A 27,815-nucleotide genomic window follows, 5' to 3' on the forward strand; every position below is an offset into this window, starting at 1 on the left:
TTGGCTATACCTAACCGTTAGTATTTTCCTGCCCTAAATTTGATTCTGTCCCAAACTTTCACTGCTCCCTCTGTGGGGAGGGTCTTCCCACCCCTTTTTTCCCCCATCTTCGGGACAGTGTCCTCCTTCCCTCCTTTGGGAAGTCCCCACTGCCTGGGACCCCACTTGGCTCATGAGGCCCTTCCCCCATTTGAAAGTGATTAATCTAGAGCCCAAGCCTCTCAGCATGGTATATAAATCCCTCATGATTTGTCTTAACGGATCTGCCTCCGTTTCTAACTTTATCACCTACTGTACCCCGCCGTGCTCCTTTTCTCAGAAATGCCTGACAGACATGGTCGTTCACTCAGGGAGACTGCAGAGATACCACAGGCTGTGGGCTCTGTGGTGATCCCACTGATCTGCTACCCTCTGTGTGTGTGTCTGCTGCTTTTTAAAGGAAACTCAGGAAATAACCTCCTCCTGGAAGCTCTCCTTGCACTCGCCCCCGATTGTCTGGGCTCCAGTGCCCTGTGCTCAGTTAGCTCTGGCTTTCCACTTACTGCTTTGTGTTACAATGGCCTGCCTATGAACGAGGCTCAGACACTCCAGGGCTGCGACTGGGCTCACTCGTTCTTGTATCACAGAGCCCTACACTTAGTAGGTACTCAGAAGATGTTTGCTGAATGAATGAATGAAGCGTGCATGATTGAAGTATAGGAAAAAGGGAGAGGCCAGCATGATTTCTTAGTGGCTATGTTAAAAAGAGGACAGATACAACTCACAGGACATGACCCAGGTATGGGAAGAATTTGCTCTTTAATCTTGCAAATCCTCTTCCCTGTATGGAAATGCTGTTGTCTTCAATGAGAAGACAGTGGGAGCTTTGCTGAGCTGGTAGGAGTGGCAGGAGTTGGTTACTGTGATGAGCGGTGAGCGCAGGATTAAGCTTTTTTTTTATTTTTATTTTTTTTTAGAGATGTAGTCTTGCTGTGTTGCTCAGGCTGACCTCAAACTCCTGGGCCCAAGCAATCCTCCCACTTCAGCTTCCCAAGTAGCTGAGACTTCAGGTGCATGCCACCATGCCCAGCTAGGATTAACCTTTTGATAGAGAAATCTACTCTTTAAAAAAAGTATTAGGAAATAATTTGAACATATAAGAAGTTATAAAGAGAATAATATAATGAACATTCATGTATTATATGTTCATTAGATTAAGAAATAAAATATCACCTAGATTAAGAAATTAAATACCATTAACACAGCTGAAACCTTTTAACCATTATCCTGATTTGGTATTTATCATACTCATGTAATCTTTTATACCTTCACATGCTATGTGTGTATATGTTTGGTATATATACATTTTAATATATTTATGTTTATATTGTTGCAAACTATTATATAGTTATTCTTTTGCAACTTGCTTTTTTCAGCATTATGACTATGGGATTTATCCATCTGGATTGATACATGTAGTACTGGTTAATTTTTATTGCTGCATAGTATTCAAGTTAATGTATCTTGTTAGTGGATATTTTTGTTGCTTCCCATTTTTTTCTTTTACACAGTGCCACTGTAAACACTTTTGTCATATATCCTTGTGCACACATCTGAGTTTCTCAAGGATGATTAATAAGAGTGGAATTTCTGGGTCATTGGGAATGTGCATCTTCTTTATTAAATTAAAAAAAAAATTATTCTCTGAGGCTTATTTACTCCATTCTTAACAAAAAGAAATCCTTATAACTCCTCTTTAGATGTGTCAGTTTATATTAATGTTTCAGATGTAGTAGATCCAAGATAAGAATTCAGTTGAAACTGAAGACACCCATTTAAGTCTTACCCATGTGTCCAACATATAAAGCCGAGAAGCTGGTTTAAAATAGAGACAGGTATATGGAATGTTCCTATTTATATAAACTCCTAAAGAAAAGGAATTAGGTCATATTCAGTAGGCTGTTCAGCATTTCCTTTTACATATTTTATTTAGTTTTAACCAAAGAGCATTTTAGATTATTTTTAGGATCTAGATGGCTCACTGTGGAGCTATCTGTTGTGTGAATATTTGAGCAAGTGAATAAATGAATGGACCTATAGAATAGAGCATAAGAACAATAAAATATAATGGAATAAAATTAAAATCAAATTAGGTTCTCTGAGCTGAGGTGTTAAAGAGAAAGATTCATGGTGGGGGAAAGGTCCCCACATGGCTTTGCTGACAATCTGGCTGAAGGCTAGAATTTACGTGGCACCTTCCTCTGCCGACATTCCTGTCTGGTGGCAGGGTGCTGACACAATCACTGTTTTATCCATTTCTTTGTTATAGGCCCAGAACCTGGGGAGGCCTAACGTGTTTCTCTGGGAGGCAGCCTTGCTACTGCCATTGGCAAGCCCTCTGATGGTCTTTGTGGGCAGGACATACTCGGGTTTCCTTCCTGTTCGCCGTTGTAAAAAGCTGGCTGCCTTCAGGTGCATCTCTAGCAGGCTGGTGAATACTGCCAGCATGGGGTGTTATAGATGGGCTTTATGCAGGACTTCACGCTAAAGCCCTGTTGCTGAGGAATTGCTGTGGCCGTTTCCTGGAGATAACACCTAATCCTGGCTAGGTGCCTTATGAGGTAGGGTAGGGATTATTGAGTTACTTATTTGCAAACCCTTCTGAACTCATGGGAGATGGGCAGTTACTGTTGAGTGTCACCTTAAAGGACCATTCAGAACATTCTTGAAGTAGTGTAGTAGTGAGCTAGGACTACATAACAAAGTACCACAAAACGTGGCTTAGTACAAGCAACAGAAATGTATTGTCTCACAGTTCTGGAGGTTAGAAGTCTGACATCAAGGTGTGGGCAGGGTTGGTTCCTTCTGAGAGCTGGGAAGGAAGGATCTGTTCCAGGCCTCTGTCTTTGGCTTGTAGATGGCTATCTTCTCTGTGTGTCTCCTCATATCATCTTCCTTCTCTGTGTGTCATTTATGTGTCCAAATTTCTAAGGAGACTGGTTATATTGGATTAAGGTTCACCCTGATGACCTCGCTTTAACTTGATTACCTCTGTGAAGACCCAATTCTAAATGAAGTCACATTCTGAGGTATTGGGGGTTAGGACTTAAAAAATATGAATTTTAGAGGACATGTTTCAACTCATAACAGGTAGCAGCACAGTGTAGGATTATGTGGGAATTGTTAAAAAGCTACTTGTGAAAGTTAGATTTTCAGCTACTGGGAAGATTAGTGTTCTAGATATTTTCACACATTTTCAGCCATTCTTTCTGACATATGCGGGAGCACATTCTCAGTTTGGTGCCATAGACTGGGTCTGGTACAGTCAGCTTATTTACTTGCTAACTTCTAGGAAGGAAGCTTGGGAAACAGTTTAAAAAGAGAGAAAATTTTGTCTCTAGAATTACATACGAATTGATTTTTTCCCATTAAGAGTTTACTGCCTGAAGGTTTGCTTTGTAGCTATTTTTTCACTTGTTTTCAAGTTTATTTTAATAATTTTGTAAAAAGAAATACCTGAAAACTATTTTTTTTTGTTCTAGACTTAAAAGGAATTGTATTCGTCATCCAGAGTCAAAGTAATTCTTTTCATGCAAAGAGAGCAGAGCAGTTAAAAAAAAGCATCTTAAAGCAGGCTGCAGATCTTACACAGGTACGTAGCGATGGCTGGGGGGTCTGCCAGTTATGTATTTCTTGATTACCTTGATGTTTTCCAAAACACTGGATCCGTGGAGAATCAGTTTTTATTTAGACGAGAATAACTCCTCTGACTCATTTTGCTTATTTAATATTGAGTATTTGTTGTTGAAAATGTTTCGGTCAGCTGGGCGTGGTGGCTCACGCCTGTAATCCCAGCACTGTGGGAGGCCAAGGTGGGCGGATCCCTTGACGTCAGGCATTGGAGACCAGCCTGGCCAACATGGCAAAACCCCATCTCTACTAAAAATACGAAAATTAGCAGGGCCTGGTGATGCATGCCCGTAATCCCAGCTACTCAGGAGGCTGAGGCAGAAGAATCGCTTGAACCCAGGAGGCAGAGGTTGCAGTGAGCCAAGATCACACTACTGCACTCCAGCCTGGGTGACAGAGTGGGACTCCTCTGTCTCAAAAAAAAAAAAGGAAAAAAACGTTTTGGTTAATTCCTAATGCACAAATTATCATATTCTGAATTTTTTTTTGTGTGTGTGTATATATATATATAAAAATATATATAAATTTAAGAGAACTATATAATTGTGTGGGGCAACTGTAGATTTGTCACGAAGTATGATAAAAGCAAGTAGAAGAAATAACTTTCTAAAGGCAAGGCTTAAAATAGAGATAATTAATGTTCAAAATTTTGGTAACAAGTTCTAAGGCAATTTTCATGTTGGAATAACATTTTCATTAATCTTAGCGCAGTGCTTCCTCTATGAGTCTCTTAATCTACTTTTTTAATTGGATGTCATTAATTTAACTTTTGAGTTGATTTATAATGTAATATTCCAGAAGGATTATGGAGAGAAAAATCTACGCATATAGGTACATTTTAATAACATTTAAAATAGGCATGAACAGAATATAAAGCTGCTCTGAATAATACTGGAGGTTTGGAGTGAGGGAGGATCTACCTTGTGCTGCCCTATAGGTGCTTTCCTTCTTTAGCTAAGTAAGTCCATCAAGACCTCTGCACCATGTTGTGATGTCCTTCAAGACCGAAGTGCTTGCCTGTAGATAAATGCTATCCCTTTGTTCTCCCAGGAAAGAACTCTTTGACAAGAGACATATGTGCGTGACAGATTGTTTTCTTTCTCTTCATGGGTATTGGAAAATAAAGGGTCAGAAATGTCAGTGGAAACATAAACAGCCTTAACAGTATTCAAGGCAAGGAACTGCTGGGAATAAGGTTTATTGTTCTTAATATTTAAATGCTTTATATATAAACTGTATCAAACTGTCTTGCGTCCCTGCAAGGCCAGGTTCTCTGGGTTGCTCTGCTTGAAACATCGTACTTTCTCAAGGGAGAGGAAAGTAACACATGCTATAGATTGTTTTTCAGTAGTCAGAGATAGGAGCAGCTTGATAAGTTAAAAATTTTTCTTTTTTGGCTGGGTGCAGTGGCTCACGCCTATAATCCCAGCACTTTGGGAGGCCGAGGTGGGTGGATCATGAGGTTGAGAGATCGAGACCATCCTGGCCAATATGGTGAAACCCTGTCTCTACTAAAAATATAAAAATTAGCTGGGCGTGGTGGTGTGCGCCTGTAGTCCCAGCTGCTCAGGAGACTGAGGCAGGAGAATCACTTGAACCCAGGAGACAGAGGTTGCAGTGAACTGAGATCGCGCCACTGCCCTCCAGCCTGGTGACAGAGCAAGATTCTGTCTCAAAGAAAAAAAAAATTTTTTTTTCTTTTTTTTGGAAACCTAACTTTTGGAGGTTTTCTCCTACTAAATCTTCCTGGATTTTATTAGAGAGGCAGACATGCAGCAACCTTGACTGGCTGGCTTCTTCCATCTGCTTTGCTGGAGGCGCTAGTGGGGTGGCCACGCGCAGGCTGCTGCAGGGAGGAGGAGGAGCCAGGAGCCCAGGTAATCCATCCCTCAGGTGGATCCAGGGAAGCTCTAACTGGATTTTGCTCAGTCAGACCTTGCCAGTTACCCCAAATTTTGTGATCAGTGATGACATCAGAACCACAGTTAGGCATCCCTTACTCATATGAATTAAGAGCACACTTTTCCCTATGTCACCTGCATGTGCCCCTGCTCCCAGCAATACCTTTCTTTTTGCAGATACAGATTTGTGTTTTTTAGATTATGTATCTTCCCCATTTAATCCATACCAGTGGTCCTTTCCATGGATACGAATAGCGACGCCCCTTGCCATCCAAGTCTAGTTGATTGCATATGCCCCTATACTTCCTCTACTGTTCATCCACTCTTATTTTATTTTTGGCCAATTTTGTTTCTGTGCAAATGGATATTCATTGCTGGCTCTCTACCTGCCTTTCCCCTTCTGTTCTTCTGGGAAGAGTAGTTTTTAGAGCACCTTCGAGCAGGGCAGTGTTCCTGGGACTTGGTTTACAGCAGGGATAAGGCATGTGGGTACGTTTTGGTGGGAAGCAATAGAAATTATAAAGTATTCCTTCTTCTCCTCTTCCCCTTAGGAAAAATGAGAGTTGGCAGGCTGTTGCTGGGGGCTGGGTATGCCTGCTTCTTTGAGAGGCCCTGGGGCTCCGCAAAGGATAGGGCCCAGGTACAAGAGCACTGGATGCTTAAAACTGACTCTAGGCTCTGGGGAGGATGGTTAGAGGTTCCTGTGTAAGCTGAACTTGGCAGTTGTATTTAGGAATGGAGAATGTGTTATAGCTTCTCTTTGGTGTCTGTCAGGATTGAGGCAAGATGGTAGGCAGCTGAGCAGGTGTGGATTCAACAGAGCAGAAGGAACCTCCATTGCTTGTTACCTTGTGCCAAGACAGTTGCACCAGAGCTTATTAACTGAAGTTCCTGTCTCTAGATCCCAGCTTCATCTTCCACCGCTCATCCCCTTGTGCTTTATTTGCCAGTAACTTCAAACTAGTATATGGTTCTAGGATCACTTGCCATATTAGTCCATCTTTGCATCGCTATAAAGAAATATCTGAGACTGGGTCATTTATAAAGAAAAGAAGTTTACTTGGCTTATGGTTCCATAGGCTGTACAGGAAGCATGACAGCTTCTGGGGAGGCCTCAGGAAACTTTCAATCATGGCAGAAGGTGAAGAAGAAGCAGGCACATCTTATGTGGCTGGAGCAGGAGGGTTAGAGAGAGAGGGGAGGTGCTACACACTTTTAAGCAATCACATCTCTCAATAACTCACTCTCCTCACGACAGTACCAAGGGGGATGATGTTAAACCATGAGAAACTGCCCCCATGATCCAGTCACCTCCCTCCAGGCCCTACTTCCAACATTGGGGATTACAATTCCACATGAGATTTGGGTGGGGACACAGATTGAGACCGTATCACATGCTATGCCCCTGTGGCTTTGTATATTGTAGATCCTGTCTTCTTGTCAAGCTCATGTATCCCCATAAAGGTTTTCCGTGCACCATCTTGAGCCGCCGTGCTAAGCTACTTCCTTTTTGGTTCCACTTTTGTATCTTGGACAAACTTCTATTGTATACTTTTCATTGTGTATTATTTGTTACCTGTCTCTTTTACAAATTTTGAGAGCAGAGAATAGACTATGTCTTATGAGTTGATTCTTCAGAACCAAGCACTGAATCCTTGAAATTCATGATCTTTTCTTTCCCAGAGTTACTTTCTTCTCTATTGTAATAGAAGTTTCCTTGTATTTCTCCTACATACAGTATGGACCTTTGGCCGTATGTACGCATGCATGCACACACATGCTGTATTAAATCACAAGTTCTTTGAAGGCAGACACTTCTTTTGATCCTTCCATAGCACCTTGAACATAGTAGGTATTCAGCATATGGCAATTGAATTGACTCTAAGAAATTTATCAAATGAAAATGAAAATTTAAGTAACTTATGTATTTTATTCCTGTTAACTCTTAAATGGATAATGGCCAACCTCCCTCTTATTAAATATAGTAGCTATTTATTTCTCTCAGTGAAACCGCAGAGTTTAGGAAGAAGAGTAGAAAAAAAATTAGGTATGAGTTGGTTCTAGAAAAATATGATGTTATGAATAATTAAATCTTTTGGAGATAATATGAAAAAGAACCAGAAGATTCACTTGACTAACACAGACAACATAACAGTGACTTAAAGAAGATGGAAATCCTTCAGTATTGAAACAAAATTAAAAAAAAAAATGGAAGATGTACTTCTCCCCACCCAACAGTCTAGTTGGTGGGGGCCTGGGGAGGCAGCTCTGCTCCAGGTTCCTCTGTCCTGTTACTTGGATGAAGTGTCTTGTCCTGCTTGGTTGAAGCTGACCTACATTCTGCATTCCAGTGTGTGTAGGCCAAGCTGCTTCCTTTTAAGGATTTTGTACCTTGCAGTTGTATATGTTGTGTCCCTTTATGTACCTATGTCCAGGATATATCATGTGGGTACACTTGGGCTGGGAAGTGTAATGTCTAGTTGGGTGGCCCTGGATTCAGCTAGAACTCAAGGGGTTCTAATCTTTAGAAGGGAAAGGGAGCATGGATACAGAGGGACAAATCGATGTCTCTGCCAAAGTCAGGATTTTGTTTTCATATCAAGGACTCACTTAGTCTACAGAATTTATCTATGAACCTCTCATTCATTCTTTTGGTATTTGAAGACATACTACGGGCAAAGTACTGGGGATACAAAGATCAACAAGACATAGTCTTGGTACTTGAAGAATGCACAGTCCCAGAGAGGAGAAGGGCCATCAGCAGGCAGTTTTTCTTTTTTTTTTTTCTTTTCCTTTGTTTTTGAGATAGAGTCTCACTCTGTCGCCCAGGCTGGAGTGCAGTGGCGTCATCTCAGCTCACTGCAAGCTCCGCCTCCCGGGTTCATGCCATTCTCCTGCCTCAGCCTCCCGAGTAGCTGGGACTACAGGCACCCGCCACCACACCTGGCTAATTTTTTTTTGTATTTTTAGTAGAGACGGGGTTTCACCATGTTAGCCAGGATGGTCTTGATCTCCTGACCTCGTAATCTTCCTGCCTCGGCCTCCCAAAGTGCTGGGATTACAGGCATGAGCCACTGTGCCTGGCCAAGCAGGCAGTTTTCAAGCAAGGTGGAAGAGCAGTGATAGAAGGGTACTTGGGACACAAAGGAGGGCCCCTACCATGGTGAAGTGGGGCAGGGGAGCTGAGGAGGGGATGTGATGCTCAAGGAGGGATTTCTGAAAGTGCTGAGCCTGGAACTGAGCCTACCTATTAGGCACTAGCTAGGTTGAGGCTGAGGTGGGAGGGGAGGGCTTTCAGGGTAAGGAGGACAGCAGGTAAGGTGGCCAGGTGAGAGGTGGAAGCACAGGTGTGTGGGCTGTGATGCTGTCCTGGGGCCAGCGGATGGGGGGTGGCAGTGTGGGCCACAGGCCTGGGAAGTCAGGATGGATCATGGTCACGCAGAATTGTATGTCCTCTGGGGAGCCAGGCTTCTCTGGGGGCTTCTCTGAGGGCCCTCCTGGTATTCTGAGGTGTATCTCTTTGGTATACAGGTGTTTAGCATCTCTCGTCTCTGGCAATACATGTAGCAGTGACCCTGGTCTCTATTACAGTTAAAAGTGCCCCTTGGTTGAGGATTACTACCAGGGAGTGCCGTTAGGGAGTAGACCTGGTAGAGTTTGTGTTTTAAAACCATCCCCTGGTGGCCTTAGGGAGAATGGCATTAAGAGAGCCAGGACTGGGCGAGGAACCTCATTCTAAGGTCGTGGGACTAGTCTTGGGCCATGCTGCACAGGGCGGGTTGCAGACTGCTGTGTGCCCTCCACCACAGCAGTTTGAGAAGCCCTGGGCTGGGGACAGGGCCATGGATCTGGCTGGGGGTGGCGTAGGGGTGCTGCAGGGCCAGAATGGTGGGAGATGGACCCAGGCTGGAGAGAATGGCAGGGACGCTTCCAGCTGGGACTCAGATGAGGTGGGGCTGCTGAGTGAGATTGAGGACAGGTTCTCAGGTTTAGAGGGTGATGATGACTTTGGGTGTCATATCTGAAGTGAGGGTGTGAGTAGCTGGAGGCTGGATATTTGTTTTACGCTCAGGAGAAAGATTTGGCCAGAAGATGGTAGATTTGAGAGTCAGCAGCATACATAGGTAGTGGCTAGAAGCTTGAAGGTGCTGCTTCCAGGGGAAGCCATGGGCCCTGCGGGAAGACCAGTGTCTAGGGGCTGGGCAGAGTCGGAGCAGACTGAAGGGCCATACGAAGGGATACAGAGAGGAGGGGCAGTGTGGGATGCTGGCTACCTGAGGACTGGCCCGTCAAATTGCCATCAGTAATGCGACATTCTCTGGAGAGGCCTCAGAGAGACTGGTCTCAGACTGCCTGACTAATTGGGACTGTGGCCTGCGCACTGACCTCAGGATGCATCCCACTCAGTGTGCTTCGTTGTTGCTGGCACCACCACTGTTATTATTTTTTAATTGTAATAAAAAACACCTAAAATGCACGTCTTAAGTGTACAACTCAGCAGTGTCAAGTGGAATCATGTTGTGTAACAGATCTCCAGAGCTTTTTTATCTTGTGAAACTAAAATCTGTATGCATTGAACAACTCCCCATTCCTCCCTACCCCAACCCCTGGCTACCACCATTCTACTTGCTGTTTCTGTGAATTTGATTTTTCTGGATTTCTCGAAGAGTGGAGTCATAGGTATTTGTCCTTTTGCGACTGGCTTCTGTCACTTACTAATGCCTTCAGGATTTATGACAGACTCTGTGTTGTTGCAGGTAACCTCAGTCCACTGTGATGGACATTTTCATCTGTAGACACCTATTTCCTTGGATGCTCATTTGGCATTTCACGTATGCACCCCCAAGGTGTACTTTGTCCTTCAGTGTATCTGTTCTGCCTTCAGGCTCCAGAGGGAGGTGGGACCTGTTCCCTATTCCTTTTTGCATCCCGCATAGCACGTAGTGGATTGCCAAACACACACAGCATTAGAACCTGTATTTCCATTGATTCATTGTCCTTAGCTTTTGAAGCTTAGGAAATAGCTACATTTCTTTAAAGTATTTGACTTTTTAGTGCTTTATTCTATGCATCTATTTAGCTTTATCACGCTTATACTTAATTTTTATTGTCCTTTATTTGCAGTTTTCTGTTTAGACAGCCTGTTGAGTAGGGGACTTAGATTGCCACTAGGTGGCAACATTGGTTTTACATTTAAAGGCATGTAATTAACCAATATTGTTAGGCAATGCACCCCCATCACCCCCAGCATTTAATTTCTGTGATAGTAAGTAGAGCCTAGACTAAAGCAATAAGGAAGCTTCCCTTTAATTATACGAAGGTCGGTTATTGTTCTGAAATTCTTTGCTTGGATGAAGCCAGCTAAGAGCACCCAAGTAGTTATGACCAAACTTTAATTTGGTCACAAGATCCATAGTGAGCTGTTACAGCTTAGGTAATTTCATTTTTGGGTTAACAAGTCTTTTGGAAGTTGAACTGTCCAGAAAGATTTTAGGGTTTGCAATTATACTTGATTCTGGATCATTTTTTCTTTTACAGAGTTTTTTATGCCACATGTATGATTAAAAGTTGACTTTATTCCATGAATAGCACTTTAGAGATCCATGAATGGGGCCAAGTATGGTGGTTCACCCCTGTAATCCCAGCACCTTGGGAGGCCAAGGTGGGCGGATCACCTGAGGTCTGGAGTTCAAGACCAGCCTGGCCAACATGGTGAAACCCTGTCTATACAAAAATACAAAAATTAGCCGGTCGTGGTGGCCAGCTCCTGTAATCCCAGCTACTCTGGAGGCAGAGGCAGGAGAGTTGCCTGGACCTAGTAGGCGGAGGTCGCAGTGACCCGAGATCGCACCACTGCACTCCGGCCTGGGCAACAGAGCGAGACTCCATCTCAAAAAAAAAAAAAGAGAGATCCAAGAACAAGAATGGCTGACAGCTAACGTAGGGTCTGTAGACAATACTTAGGGGGCAATGATGAGATAACTTCACCTGGAACTAAATGAAAATAGAGAAATAAGATCAACTTCTGAGAATTAAATGCTGAAATTCACAAAGCATAGGGAGGCAAAGTCACTTTAAAGAGGCAGGAGGGCTCCTTAGTTAAAACTTAGCTGGAGGCTGTTTTTTTTTTTTTTTTTTAGATGGAGTTTTGCTTCTGTTTCCTAGGCTGGAGTGCAGTGGTGCGATCTCAGCTCACTGCAACCTCTGCCTTCTGGGTTCAAGCGATTCTCCTGCCTCAGTCTCCAGAGCAGCTGGAGTTACAGGTGCCTACTACCACGCCTGGCTGATTTTTTGTATTTTTAGTTGAGACAGGGTTTCACCATGTTGGCCAGGCTTCTCTCGAACTCCTGACCTCAGGTGACCCACCCGCCTTGGCCTCCCAAAATGCTGGGATTACAGGTGTGAGCCACCATGCCCCGTCTACTGGAGGCTGTTTTAAGAAATGGACATGCTCAAGAAAGAACTGGTGACTCCGTCAGCTGTGGGAGCTGAGAAAGGGAAAAACTAAGAGGCATAAGTTGTTGGCGTCCCAGTGCTGTGGTGGGAGCAGGCTGGCTCCTCAAAGGGGTGTCTCAGCAGCTTGGTGTGGCAGGTATGCACCGTGCCTGTAAGGGACGGGATGTCTGGGACCCTCATGTCACCTGGGACCCCAACTGTGAAGCATGAAGGTTGCAGTTTTGGTTTCTTCATCAATTTGCCCACCATGAACATTCGTAAAAGTTGCTTGGTGAGGCAGAAGTCAGCAGTAAGTTTTATCATTTGAATATTTATCTGATAGCTCAAAATATATATTCCTCCCACAATACCAGATGTCTAGAACTGCTGTTTAGTCATTACTCTGTCAGGTTGCACTTGACTACAAAGTCTGCCAAAAAATTAAGGTGCAAAAATTTAATGACTTCTGTGATTATGCATCTGTTTCCAGCTATTCTCTTTGCTTAGGCAAGTCATTACCTATGCCTGTTTTGCCTCAAGGTGCTAAAATGCAGCCTTATTAAAAACGGAAACATTTTTCATCATTACAGCATGAATCTAAAAAGAAAGAGCGTAAACTAACTTTTTATCTGACATTTAATACTGTGTGCAGAGTTGTTAGTAGAAGAGTTAAACTGTTTCCCTTGTTTTCTGCAACAAGGGTCATTGTAAGTAGTCATTTCCATCTCCAGTTTTGAAGCTTATCATGCAGTTATAATGGTGCTGAGGTTGATAATTTTATGTTCTTTCCAATCTATAACTCAGCTGACTTCATCAGGTTCTATTCTATGTGCAGAGTATCATTCTAAGTTGCTCTGTCACAAAGGATTAGAAAGGAATTTAGTAGAATGCGTATTCTCGTTTTTATAAAGTAGATGGTAACTATTTCATAATATAAGTGAGTATATCATTAAGCAGAAATTGTAAGTACAGAATCAGTGTTTTAAAGAATCCACTCAATAGGCCAGGCGCACCTGTAGTCCCACCTACTCAGGAGGCTGAGGCAGGAGGATTGCTTGAATCTAAGAGTTTGAGACCACCTTGGGCAACATAGCAAGACCCCATCTCAAAAGAGAAAAAAATTGACTCAACAAATATTAATTGAGCATCTATGGTTATATTAGTCATTTTTGAATGCAAAAAGACATCTGTAGACAACACATGGGGGCCTTGAGAATGACGATAACGTGTTTGAAGCTGTGTAGCAATATGTAAAAAGTTTGAGTTGACGCTGTGCTAATTGTGCATGTGAAGCCTGAGAGGAGAAGGCGGGAAGACTTTTGTGAAATCACTCAGGAAAGACAGGGAAAATGAGCTGGAGGACATAGGTTTAGAACATAGTTCTGGAAGATGAAGACATGAATTGCCAGAAGGTCTGCTTTTGGGATGCCAAGTAGGAACTGGAATTTGTAAGGGAACAGTTTGTGGGATGGGTAAAGTGTGTGTTGGGAGTGGAATGTGATCTTTGTAGATTGCAGTGAATGGAAGGGAGGGTCGGTGAGAGTGGGGATGTGGCTGATGACTACGGCTTCCTAAATGCAGATCTGCACATAGAGGAATACAGAGTTTGAAGAAGAGCTATTTTTTTCCCTGTTTTTTTCCTCCCTGTATCACAGATGGAAGGGTAATGTGAAGTGATCGAGACTGACTATTTAAAGAGGTATGCAAACAAAAAGCAAAGTGGAGGTGAGACAGACAGAAACCCATAAGGAGAGTTTGTGCAATGATCTAATAAATCACCTGTTTGAGTTTATTTTGTTCAGATGCCTATTATGTGCACTGCATCTGTGTCAATTATGATTTGACATCTGTTTTTTTGACTTAAAATTCCTTCTGGAGTGGATATTTGTGTAAAAATTCTTATATTAAATATTTTGTTAGTTACATGAAACAAAAGAGCAAACAGCTCAGGTTCTAGAGATGATACTATTAAGTATCTTGAATTTATGTTGTGATGGCAAAGCTGTCACCTGAGTCTTTTTTTTTTTTTTTCCTTCTAGAACCTGGGGTCTAGCCACCAAGCGGATCCCATGCTGAAACAATCTTTCCTGTAGTTTCAAAAGCATATTAACACCTGTCTAAAACCATTGTTGTTCTCCAGAGGAACTTTACGTAAGATTAAATTGGAAACAATGAAGGAGAGAAGATAAAGCATAATTGCATTGCTTTCAGTAGGTTCTAGTAAAGCAAGAATCCAGGCACCATTTGAAGACACTAAAGTAGGAACTTTAACCTCAGCACAAGGCCAGGGTCTTGCTTGCCCAGGGAATCACTTTGGATGGGGAGCAGAGAAGTAAGCCACTGTAGAAGGAATATTTGGGGAGAGGGGTAGGACAGTGTTTAGAATTAAGGCAGGAGCTGAGAAATAGGCAGAACCAGAGATACATTATGGTTCCAGGCAAGGCAACCTGCAAATACTGCCCCCCTCTCTAAAAAAAAATCAGAAGTCAGGATGCTTAAAAGGGTTTCATTATTGGGGGCAGAGGTCGGCGGGTCAGAGGTTGGATTACATTTTCTGCTTTAGACCAAATGGAGCTAACCTAGCTGCTTAGAGACCTCTATACTCTCTCCACCTGAACTATGTAGCTTTTGAAGAGAACTGACACTTCTAATTTTGTAGCCTTTTGTGGTGAGACTATAAACCCTTTATTTAAAACCTGGCATAATCTCAACTTTACAAATTATTTTTTTTCTGCTGTTTGCAGAAAGTTTTGGAAATCACTATTTTTCTTGAAAAGAGTTAGGCCCTTGCCTCTTTAGTTTTTTTTTTCTTTTTTTTTTTTTATATTAAAAACACCTGATTTTCATTTGTTAAGCCAGGAGAGCTAGCAAAGCCTTTCATAGATTAGTGTAAAGAAGCTTGAGAAAGATGGCCTGGCGTTTTCTAATTTCAGAATTTTTTTTTATTCACAGGGAGACTGTGAGTTACTTCATTAAAAGGTTAACTTTGAGAGTCATGAGTGTGATTTATTGCCTCAGCTTTTTGATGCTGTATATCATTAAACTTTTCTTTTGAAGTGAAAGGAGTTGGATGCTTAATAGTTTACTAAAAGTTAATTTTATTTTTAGAAATTGATAGGCATTAATTGTATTTTTATTTATTAAATTCGAGACTTTATTGCATTGCTGTTGAATGCAAATTTATCGACCCATTCATTCAACAAATATTGATTGAATACTTACTTTGGGCAGCGGCCTGGATAGGATGCTCCAGGAGAAAATAGAATTTTTTTTTTATACACATTCTCTCACTTAAATAATACTGTCCTTTTTCACATATACAACTGGCATTCTTAGAAACATCTTTTATACATGTGTCTTTATATAGAACTTCATGCATCACAGGAAATAGAACATTGAGATTCAAGGCCAAGTTGCTCAACAGTAATGAAATCTTCACACCATTTGGAAGGCTGTGTCATGACCCTTTGTCTCTCTTTGGTTGCCCAGCATTTGAACCCCTTTGCTTCCTGGAGAAGTCTACACCCTGTGTCTGGAGGGAGCTGGGGCTCAGCCCATTAAGGCAGACGGAGGCCAGGTGCTCGGGCTTCCCAAGCTCAGGGGAGGGTGGGCCTCCCTTCCAGCATGGCATGTTGGATGAGTATGGAGCTGGAGACCCCAAGAATCAGGTAGCTTTAGACCTCCCTCCTCTGGGTGTCTAGTGGTGACAGTGGAGGCCAAGTGCAAAGCCAGCACATGCAAGTGTGCAGAGGAGGTGGGGGCTCCATGAACATGGTGCCAGTGGTGTGTGATGCCCAGCAGGGATGGCCTCTCCAGGGTGTAGGTCACTGTAGACTGTGCCATGCCCAGTGCCTATTGCGGAAATGGCACCTGCCCTCCAGGAGGCTCATTCTAGTTGGGGGAGCAGGTCATTCCACTGGTTGAGTTGCTGTATGAATCAGTACAAACATGGCCCCCTGAGAACATAGGCAAGGAAAGCTGTGACCCCATCTGGACATGCCAGTAAAGGCTTTTTTATGGCATTTGAACTAAGCCTTGAAGAAATGTAGTATAAGTTTGGTAGACTCCCATCTTGGGCAGCTTGAGGACTGTCACTGAAGGCGGCAATACATCGTGGGTGTCACTGGATATTAGGGAATGGATGAAGAAAAGAGGATGAGCTACTCTCAGCTAAGATGATGAGTTCATTTTTGGAAAGGTGGAGTTTGAGGGATTAGTGAGACATCTAGTTTATGGGCCCAGGGTTTGGAGTAGAGAGAGTTGGAAACGACAGTAGTTATTGTAGCTTTTTTTGAGTGCTCATAATCATTGTTATTTAATTTAGTGCTCATATTGGTACACTATGCTATGCTGTTTTCAAGCATCAGCTCATTTAACTCTATGAATTAGTTGCTGTTATTCTTGCCGTTTTGCAGAGAGGAAACTGAGGCTTAGAGAGATTAATAAAATAGTGGAGTCAGTCCTATACCTCAGTTCTGAGGGGATCCAAAGCCTATTCTCTCTGCCTTGCTGCCTCCTGACTTGCAGGTGGGGCCATGATCCCTCGTGCAGCAGAGCCATGTTGATAGGTAAACAGTGTGCTATTCAGTCTGTCTCTTCATATAGCTCTGTTCTTATGGCTTCTATCCCTGACACATTATATTGTAGATTTATTTGCTTGTTGCCTGTCTCCCTCATGAGAACATGAGATCCAATAGGGCAGGGACTCTGCCTGTCTTATCACAGCTGTTTACTGTATTCCTAGAACAGTACCTGGTACATAGTAGTTGCTAAAAATTATTGCAAAATTGATATTGTTAATAGTCATCACATGCTTACCACATGCCAAGTGCCTGGCATGTATTAACTCACTTGCTCCCCTTTGCTGTTGTCATCTCACATGAGAGAATGAGGTGGCAGAGCCACAACTAGGATAAGAAACTCACTCGAGTTGCATGGCTCAGAAGAAATAGAGCCAGGATTCAAAGGAATTTGGCTCCAAAAATCAGATCCTTAAATACTGAGCTTTACAGCCTTTTGTGAGTGAATGAATTATTAGTTAAAATAGATTTATATGAGCTATAAAATGGACGGAGTAATGCTTTTCAAAGTAAATTGTTCATAAAAATAAAAATTTCTAAATAATGAGGTAATATTTTATCTTGTTAGGAAAGGACATTTAATGATTAAGACAGGTATCTAGAAAAATCTTTTCTTTTTTTTGTAATATAGACTCAGATTCCTAGAAGGTATGTTATTATAACATCACATATAATCTGCTGGGGGCCATAAATGAATACTGGATTTCTAAAGGCTAGTAAATCTGTCTGATACATGTTGCAAATAGCATATTACAGATCTCTGTTATCCTCATAAGACATACGTACCTCTTACAGAAGAAATTGTAACAATAAACAGATGTTAATTTTCACCATAATTTATTTGTTGTTCTAAAAGCTCAGTTCAGTGCCTCAGAATGATGTAATAGTTGGAATTTAGACAAACAGTTGAAATGGAATCAGTCTTAAAAGTTCAGTTTTTTAGAACCTTTGCCTAATGCTGATCTTACTTTCTAGTTTAGCATGTAGTCTGAATAATAAAACTGAATGAGACCATAAACCCATGTACTTCTAGGTTTAGAGGTTAAATTAAGGACAAATGACAAATACTGGCAAATAGTCTGTTGACAAGGGAAAGACCAGCACCATGTAGTTTAATTGTTGAATTATTTCCAGACATGCAGAAAAACTAAAATGGTTCAAAACCAAATCTGCTGAATAATTAAGGTTATTTATGATATTTTATATATTCATCTATTTTAATCCATGTTCAAATGTTAGCTTTTTCATTCATACTATTAATATTTCTACATATAAATTTTTAATGATTTCCCCTCCATGTCAAGAATAATGACCCTTCTCCATTCTAAAAATATTGTGAGAATACTCAGCTGTGATATTGGAATCAAACCCCTTTCCCAAATGAGGATGATGAATATGTATAAGAACCAACTAATGAATTAGAATGTTGGTTTTAAATTTGTTTGCTCTCAATAATTATTAGCTGCTTTAAATATGAATTCATGCCTTGATAACAAATATGTTCCAAGGAAGTACCGACTGAAAGTTCAGTAGGCTTCCTGTCTTCAAAGTGATTATGATACCAGTGGATGCTGATAAAGGCAGACTTTAATTCAAAGAGATAAATAGAGTTGACATGAAAGTTTAAATTACTGCAAGCGACCTTTTCATTTTCTTTCCCTTTTCTGTCATTTATCCATATTTGATCATTTGTATTTTTAGCTCCTTTATGCCTGCCTGTTACGGCATTATCTCATTATCGAGAGAATTTTGAATTACCTTTTAGGTTTGAAATAGTAGCATGATTAGGCATCATTTAGATTGACGACAGTTGTTGCATGCATGAATGCCTTTACTATGTCTTTATTCCAGACAGCTCTTGGTAATGTTGATATAACATTTTCTTATTTTCCCCTTGAATTTTAATTTGAAAACTATTTCTTAGTTATTCAGCCAGTTACTTATTTAAAAACTTGCTTTGAGACTGGGCACGGTGGCTCATGCCTGTAATCCCAGCACTTTGGGAGGCCGAGGCGGGTGGATCACCTGAAATCAGGAGTTCGAGACCAGCCTGGCCAACATGGTGAAACCCTGTCTCTATTAATAACACAAAAATTAGCCAGGCGTGGTGGTGCACCCCTGTAATCCCAGCTACTCGGGAGGCTGAGGCAAGAGAATCACTTGAACCTGGGAGGCAGAGGTTGCAGTGAGCCGAGATTGCGCCATTGCACTACAGCCTGGGTGACAAGAGCGAAACTCTGTCTCCAAAAATAAAAATAAAAACTTGCTTTGAATCTAAAAATGGTATCATTTAGTGACACTACCTTTAAGGAGATCTAAATCTTATGATGGCGATAGATGGAACATAAATTATTATAATCCTAAGTGGTAGGAACTGAGATAAGATCATTTGATAGAAAATTTTATTGCACCCTTTTTGATAATTACCTTTAAGGTGCTACTACATCTAAGTGTAATATTACATCTGTTTGGGTCTCTGTGTGCATTCATATATATATATGTGTATATATGTGTGTATATGTATATGACAAGAATAAAAGCTCTTGGGCATTTTTGGGGATTAGTAGATTAAAATTTATTTACAATTAAGATGACTTTGGCTTAATCAAGAGTTAATCAAGAGCAGGTTTCTGAGTGCCAAAGTAGCACCTACTTTGTATTTTTGAGTACTCACCTTTGGAGAGTGTTATTAACAAGGCATGCTAGCTTTTGAAATGTTGTTATATGGAGATACAGAGAGACAGAAAATTTGACTGATCTTGTGTTCACAAACTGAAGCAAATATGAAATCTAGTATATGATTTACTAAACAAATATAATGGAGCTATGAATGACTTTAATCTACTGATAATCCATAGAGTTTATTTCAATCTAGGATGTGATTCCTTGTTTGCACTACCTAAACCTTTGCCTCCCACATTTTATGTTGTGGCAGAAATTATTAATAAGCTTGTCTTCTAATCTCTCCCAGGAAAGTGCTTTTGTAGCCTTTCTGCTGAGGTTACCGTCAAGGTATCAAAGGAAGCCTTTTCTCAGTTAATAGCTGTTGATATTACATTATATATATATCCTATAACTAGGAAGTATAATACTTGTTTGGAAGTAAATTTTTGAGGTGCATTCATTTTCCTTCAATGTTTAAAAAACTTAGCTATGTTTTAATTGAAGGATTTTTAAAGCATATATCTCATTGTTCTATCATCTTGACACAAATATTTTCACTTCCTGGTTCTTCTAGTCTCTGTTCATCTAGGATTTTGTTTTATTCTTGGAATCATGTCTGGTTTTTTTCTATTAAACATAAAGACATTTCCGTTGTTATAAAGTTTTCATCATAATTTTAATTGATACATAATAACTCATTAGCTACTTTTATGTAAAACTTTAAAAAGTATTTGCTATATTTCTTTTCTTGTCTAGCTCACATTTGCATTTACCCATAATTATTCCAAAGTTTTATGCAAATAGTAACATCATTAGTTTCTTTACACATGATTTTCTGCTCTTATGTAATCCTTCATGAATATATATATTTGCTGGAATTTTAAAAAGACAATGAAAATTACTGCATAATTCAGAAGTAACAGTAGGAAGGCCCTGAATTATTTATATTGGGTAACTGCTAATTCAGCCTTAAGGTTTGCTCTTTCTAACATACCACATTGTTTGTCTGATTTAACCTGTGATTACTGTTTTTTGCATTTCATATTTCTACATGGAAGTTGAAATGAATATTATATAAAATAAATGAGATTTACTTGAAATTTAATTCCAAAGATTTACATTAAAGACTATTCTCTTCTTAAATAATAAATATCTATGAACTTTAAGACAGCTGTGAAATCCACATCAGTGCAGTAATGTTTCAGATACTTAGGTACTTGTTCTTGAATTCTTTTGTCTGTAATGGTTACTAGGAATATAGTTTTATGGCTAGTATAAAACACAGGATATAATAAAGTTTGTTGGGGGAGGAGGTTTAAGCATATGAGATATGAAATTTTTGACTTTTGGCTTTTGTAACAACTTGAAATATAGGGAATAGTGTTTTGCTTCAAAGCTAACACTCGTAGCCTTAAAAATATTAATCTCTCTTTATATATGTATACATAATTTATGTAAGCACAGTTGTGCCTTATTTCTGAATTTTAGTTCCTCCTATGCTTATAAATTTGTCAATTCCATTATTATGCTATTCCTGTTATTGCCTGAGTAATTAAGGATTACATTTCTCGACCAAAACTTTTTGTTATCAGGGTATTTTAATGTGTTTAGAGAACTTTAAAAAGTAAAGTAATTTTTGCACATGAGGTAGATCAAATATTGTATCCTCTAGTTTAGCCAAAGGGTTTTCATTTTCACATGTTCCATATGTTGTATATAAAATAAAAAACTGCTTCTGTGCCTCTGAGTTATCCCTGACTACTTCCCCCAGGCTCTTCCCTTCAAGTCACCTTCACAGATTTCAGGTTGGCTCGGAGTCACGGAAGACCCTCCTTGTAGGTCTTGAGCTCTATTTGGGTGTGTGGGTGGTGCAGAGTGTAGAGGTTGCATGGATTCAGCCAAAATACTTCATTTCCAGTAGCTCCTGGAGAAAATGAGGAAAAAGAAGTGGTTTGAAGAGTACCATGTCAGGTCTCTAGAAACAGCTGCATTTTAAGCCAAGCCTTTTCTTTTTTTCTTTTTTCTTTTCTTTTCTTTTCTTTTTTTTTTTTTTTACTTTTTTTCGGAGTAGTCAATTCATACTTATCTTCTTTGATCATTGTTTTCTCAGGAGCTCCCCAGTGTCCTCCTCCTTCATCAGCTGGCTAAACAAGAAGGTGCATGGACCATACTTCCGTTGTTACCGCAGTACGTTTGTTTAACTCACCTGTGAATTACTGACATTCCTACCTGAACACTTTTACGCCCTTAGTCTTTTTATTAAGAGGGTGTGGTTTTCCTCAGTCAGTAAGTGAAGTAAATTTGAGTTTTACTTTTTATGATTACTACCTTAACCAAATTTCTTGATGATTGGTTCTTAATCATGAATAGCTTTTTCTTTTTTTTTGGAGACAGAGTCTCGCTCTGTCGCCAGGCTGGAATGCAGTGGTGACTTGGCTCCTGCAAGCTCTGCCTCATGGGTTCAAGCAATTCCCTGCCTCAGCCTCCCGAGTAGCTGTGACTACAGGCGTGCACCACCACTCCCAGTTATTTTTTTATTTTTAGTATAGATGAGATTTTACCATGTTGGCCAGGATGGCCTTGATCTGTTGACCTTGTGATCCGTCTGCCTTGGCCTCCCAAAGTGCTGGGATAACAGGCGTGAGCCACCACACCCTGCCCTATATATGCTTTTTCTTAAAGAATAAAATGCTTCAAGTTGATATTTGAAAATTATTTATCCCCTGAACTAGTGTTGTTATGGAGAGAATTAACTTTACGAACTCCAGCTGTTTTTTAAACCATTAGCATCTGGCTTTTCTATAAGCTGAAGAAAAATATAGAGAAAAAAATTAGATATGCCATTCTGTGTACCCTTCATTCACTTCCTACTGATCAGTTTTAAACCTTATTATTAACTTATTTTACAGAAGTGATTACTGAAACTTGTTTCTTTTGGTCAGTTTTTCTGTAACATATAGCAGAAATTCATCTTGGATTTTCTTCTGTGAAGAAGAGACAAGAATACAGATTCCAAAACTCTTGGAAACCCTCAGAAGATATGACCCCTCTAAGGTGAATATAACTTCAATACCAGTTCTTATTTTGGGGGACAGTGTTTCAAAGGAGATTTAATTTTGATTAAGAAGCTTTTGAATCTAATAAAAAACCACTTAGTTTAAAATTAAAAAGAATGAAACATTGTTGAATATCTGAGATATGTTAAGTAATGCTCTTTGAAGTTTGTAGCTTATAGAGGGACAGAGCTTATAATGAGCCATTTTAAATGAAAAAAATCTGTTAATATATGTGTTAGCAATTTCAGAGAGTTGGAAACTATAACTTGAAGTTCATAAACTGCTTTTCTTAGCAATAAACTTAAGTTGGCTATTTCTGCTTATTAGACAGTGACCATATATTATTTTAGATAGAAAATTTTTTTTGAGTGCCAGCTGTATACTGAGCACTGTGGATGGCGGAGGCTAGAACAAAACAGACAGCGATTCTGAACATGTGGGTGGCACAGAATAGCAGGGAGAACAGACCATTAGAGAAGCAGTTATGGTTAGAAGGAAAACATCTCTAATAAGGAAGACTAGGGTGCTGTTAGAAGCATATAACAGGGGCATGGAATCTAACCTGGGAGGGTCAGGACAGGAAGTGACATTTAATCTGAGTTCTGTAGGATGAGTAGGAGTTAGCAAGAGAGAAAGAGGGTCTACCAGGCAGAGGGAACACGATTTGAGAAAGAATGGGGGTGGGAAGGGATGTATCTTGAACTAGAGGAACTCAGTGAAGTCCACTACTGCTTTTACATTTTCAGATCTTGTTTTTATTTCATGCAGATTTGATAGAGCAACTGGATTTTGTTTGCCTTGAAATCCCTAGCCCTTAGCAGAGTGTTTAACACTTAGTAGGTGGTCAGTGAATATTTGCGAATGACTTTATAACCCTGTAATAATCAGTTTTGCTGCTGGGCTATGTTCAAAGGCTCGTTAGGTTTAGAGAGCTGCCTTGGAAATGTGTCAAGAGTAAATCGAGCTCATTCAGTTCTCTTTCAGAGGAAAGAAGCCCAGGTTACAACCTGATCACTTTTTGGAATTCTTTAAACTTGAGATAAGCAGAGATGGGCCCTTTCTGGTCCCAGTGGAAACCTGTCCCACCCACCTTCGAATGCTCGCTCCTGAGATGAATCAGATGTAATGAGCTCATGGGGAATAAAAGGCAAGCTTCTGGGTTCTGCTCGGTTTGTTGATGTAGATGTCAAACACTGGGCAACAGTGATCGTTAGATTAATTTCTCCAACCCTGGAAAGCCTGTTACTATAATAGAAACCACTGCTTTTGATGATCTTTAAATGCTGGAAAGATCCACTATGATTTTTCTTCATGCTTTTAATTTCTGGGAAGCTTTAGATATAATTGGATGAGAAGGTCATTGGGTTAAAAAAATAATTCTTTCAAAGAGAAGAATTATGAACCTGTCTCATCCAGTCTTTTCAGATGACACTAACCAGCATCTGTGCACTTTCTGCCATGTTTTATGCAAACCATTTGTTAGGCTTTTATGTTTCCTTTTGGCTTGGGAAAAACTCCCAAATCTTTTTTAGGATGTAGGAGTTTTCACCTCCTCCTAGTGTTCATTTCACCTGGAGGTTATTTTTCCATTATCCATAGCTCTAATTCTGTACAGGAGATGGTGACTCACTTTGCTTTTTAATGAAAATTGGGATGATAAATTTAAAAGTTCAAAGCAAGTTCATGAAAAGCAAGTACAGAACAGAGGTAAAAGGAGATGTTTTCTCCCTCTTTTCAGAACTCTGCCATGTGTAAAAAAAAACCATCCAGGATGCTTTATTTCTTTTGAGACTAACAGTAAGAAATGATAAAGATTATATGATGTTGAAGTTAGCTCAAACCAGTGTGATTTTTTTGTCCTCTACCATTTGAAGGGAAAAAAGTATAAAGCAAACCTGGCTTTGATATTTACACAAATAAACTTTGAGTACATTAAAATAATTATGTAATGTGTGAGGGTATAAGGTATTTTGTTTGATTCTGATTTATTTCCATCATCATCTTTCAGTCATTCTTACTAATGCAAATGTATACTGTCAAAATATTTTAAATGTAAAACTTTTAACTTTTATTAATCTTTATTAAATTGCCTTCCTCGGTGATTTCTATAAATTTTTGTATGTTGTTTGAAGTCTTTCCTTTGTAACCACAGTATGCTTTTAATATATGTGTATTTTATGAGGTGTGTTGACTTTAAATTTATTTTGTTTTATTTTATTTTTTGAGACAGAGTCTCGTTCTGTCACCCAGGCCGGAGTGCAGTGGTGCAGTCTTGGCTCACTGCAACCTCCACCTCCCAGGTTCAATCAATTCTTGTGCCTCAGCCTCCCAAGTAGCTGGGATTACAGTCTTGCACCAGCAAACCTGAGTAATTTTTGAATTTTTAGTAAAGATGGGATTTTGCCCTGTTGGCCAGTCTGGTCTTCAACTCCTGGTCTCAAGTGATCTGCCTGCCTCGGCCTCCCAAAGTGCTGGGATTACAGGCATGGAGCCACCACACCTGGCCTAAATTTATTTTTAATAGAGATAAAACACAGGTGCTTGCAAAAAGTAATTCTGAGGGGCGTCCGCCATTGCTGAGGCTTGAGTAGGCAATTTTACCCTCACAGTGTAAACAAAGCCACCAGGAAGTTCAAACTGGGTGGAGCCCACCACAGCGAGGCAAGGCCTCTGCCGCCAGACTGCCTGTTTAGATTCCCTCCTCTCTGGGCAGGGCGTCTCTGAAAAAAGGCAGCAGCCCCAGTCAGAGACTTATAGATAAAACCTCCACCTCCCTGGGACAGAGAACCTGGGGGAAGGGGCAGTTGTGGGCGCCACTTCAGCAGACTTAAATGTCCCTACCTGGCAGCTCTGAAGAGAGCAGCGGATCTCTCAGCACAGTGTTTGAGCTCTGATAAGGGACAGCCTCCCTCCTGAAGTGGGTCCCTGAACCCCCGTGTAGCCTGACTGGGAGACACCTCCCAGTAGGGGCCGACAGACACCTCATACAGGAGAGCTCTGACTGGCATCTGGCAGGTGCTCCTCTGGGATGAAGCTTCCAGAGGAAGGAACAGGCAGCAATCTTTGTGGTTCTGCACCCTCCACCGGGGATACCCAGGCAAACAGGATCTGGAACGGATCTCCAGCAAACTCCAGCAGACCTGTAGCAGGGGACCAGACTGTTAGAAGGAAAACTAATAAACAGAAAGGAATAGTATCAACATCAACAAAAAGGACGTCCACTCAGAGACCCCCTCCGAAGGTCACCGACTTCAAAGACCAAACGTAGATAAATCCATGAAGATTGGGGAGAAACTAGCACAAAACGGCTGAAAATCCCAAAAACCAGAACACCTCTTCTCCTTCAAAGGATCACAACTCCTCACCAGCAAGGGAACAAAACTGGATGGAGAATGAGTTTGACGAATTGACAGAAGTAGGCTTCCGAAGGTGGGTAATAACAAACTCCTTCAAGCTAAAGGAGCATGTTCTAACCCAGTGCAAGGAAGCTAAGAACCTTGAAAAAAGGTTATAGGAATTGCTAACTAGAATAACCAGTTTAGAGAAGAACGTAAATGACCTGATGGAGCTGAAAAACACAGCACAAGCACTTTGTGAAGCATACCCAAGTACCAATAGCCGAATCGATCAAGTGGAAGAAAGGATATCAGAGATTGAAGATCAACTCAATGAAATAAAGCAAGAAGACAAGATTAGAGAAAGAAGAGTGAAAAGAAATGAACAAAGCCTCCAAGAAATATGGGACTGTGTGAAAAGACCAAATCTACATTTGATTGCTGTACCTGAAAGTGATGGCGAGAATGGAACCAAGTTGGAAAACACTCTTCAGGATATTATCCGGGAGAACTTCCCCAACGTAGCAAAGCAGGTCAACATTCAAACTCAGAAATATGGAGAACACTACAAAGATACTCCTCGAGAAGAGCAACCCCAAGACACATAGTCGTCAGATTCACCAAGGTTGAAATGAAGGAAAAAAATGTTAAGGGCAGCCAGAGGGAAAGTCCGGTTACCCACAAAAGGAAGCCCATCAGACTAACAGCGGATCTCTCAGCAGAAACCCTACAAGCCAGAAGAGAGTGTGTGCCAATATGCAGCATTCTTAAAGAAAGGAATTTTCAACCCAGAATTTTCATATCCAGCCAAACTAAGCTTCATAAGGGAAGGAGAAATAAAATCCTTTACAGACAAAGAAATGCTGAGAGATTTTGTCACCACCAGGCCTGCCCTGCAAGAGCTCCTGAAGGAAGCAGTAAGCATGGAAAGGAACAACCAGTACCAGCCACTGCCAAAACATACCAAATTGTAAAGACCATTGATGCTATGAAGAAACTGCATCAACTAAGGGGCAAAATAACCAGCTAGCATCAAAATGGCAGGATCAGATTTACACATAACAATATTAACCTTAAATGTAAATGGGCTAAATGCTCCAGTTAAAAGACACAGACTGGCAAATTGGATAAAGAGTTAAGACCCATCAGTGTGCTGTGTTTGGGAGACCCATCTCATGTGCAAAGACACACATAGGCTCAAAAAGGGATGGAGGAAGATTTACCAAGCAAATGGAAGGCCAAAAAAAAAGCGGGGGTTGCAATCCTAGTCTCTGATAAAACAGACTTTAAACCAAGAAAGATCAAAAGAGACAAAGAAGGGCATTGCATAATGGTAAAGGGATCAACACAACAAGAAGAGCTAACTGTCCTAAATATATGCACTCAATACAGGAGCACCCAGATTCATAAAGCAAGCTCTTAGAGACCTACACAGAGACTTAGACTCCCACACAATAATGGAGACTTTAACACCCCACTGTCAGTATTAGACAGATCAACAAGACAGAAAATTAACAAGGATATCCAGGACCTGAACTCAGCTCTGGACCAAGCAGACCTAACAGACATCTACAGAACTCGCCACCCCAAATCAACAGAATATACATTCTTCTCAGCAACACATCACTCTTATTCTAAAATTGACCACATAATTGGAAGTAAAACACTCCTCAGCAAATGCAAAAGAACGGAAATCATAACAAACAGTCTCTCAGACCACAGTGCAATCAAATTAGAACTCAGGACTAAGAAACTCACTCAAAACCGCACAACTATGTGGAAACTGAACAACCTGCTCCTGAATGACTACTGGGTAAATAACGAAACGAAAGCAGAAATAAAGATGTCCTTTGAAACCAATGAGAACAAACGCACAACATACCAGACTCTCTGGGACACATTTAAAGAAGTGTGTAGAGGGAAATCTATAGCACTAAATGCCCACAAGAGAAGGCAGGAAAGATCGAAAATCGACACTCTAACATCACAATTAAAAGAATAGAGAAGACCGGGTGCGGTGGCTCATGCCTGTAATCCTAGCACTTTGGGAGGCCAAGGTGGGTGGATCACGAGGTCGGGAGATTGAGACCATCCTGGCTAGCATGATGAAACCCCGTCTCTACTAAAAGTGCAAAAAAAATTAGCTGGGCGTGGTGGCGGGTGCCTGTAGTCCCA

The 27,815-nt window shown here is 40.7% G+C and overlaps 1 protein-coding gene across 6 annotated transcripts in view; it reads left to right on the forward strand.

Moving 5' to 3' along the window:
• Positions 1–27,815, forward strand: part of B3GLCT (beta 3-glucosyltransferase) — a 132,302-nt gene that overhangs the window by 25,689 nt on the left and 78,798 nt on the right. For all 6 annotated transcript variants that reach the window (NM_194318.4, XM_011534936.2, XM_047430111.1 and 3 more), the window contains 3 exons: positions 3,522–3,631; positions 21,360–21,436; positions 22,192–22,303. In NM_194318.4, the coding sequence (NP_919299.3) occupies positions 3,522–3,631; positions 21,360–21,436; positions 22,192–22,303 (299 nt within the window). The remainder of the gene's footprint in view (positions 1–3,521; positions 3,632–21,359; positions 21,437–22,191; positions 22,304–27,815) is intronic.

This window comes from Homo sapiens, chromosome 13 (genome assembly GCF_000001405.40).
Source record: "Homo sapiens chromosome 13, GRCh38.p14 Primary Assembly".
Classification (NCBI taxonomy): Eukaryota; Metazoa; Chordata; class Mammalia; order Primates; family Hominidae; genus Homo; species Homo sapiens.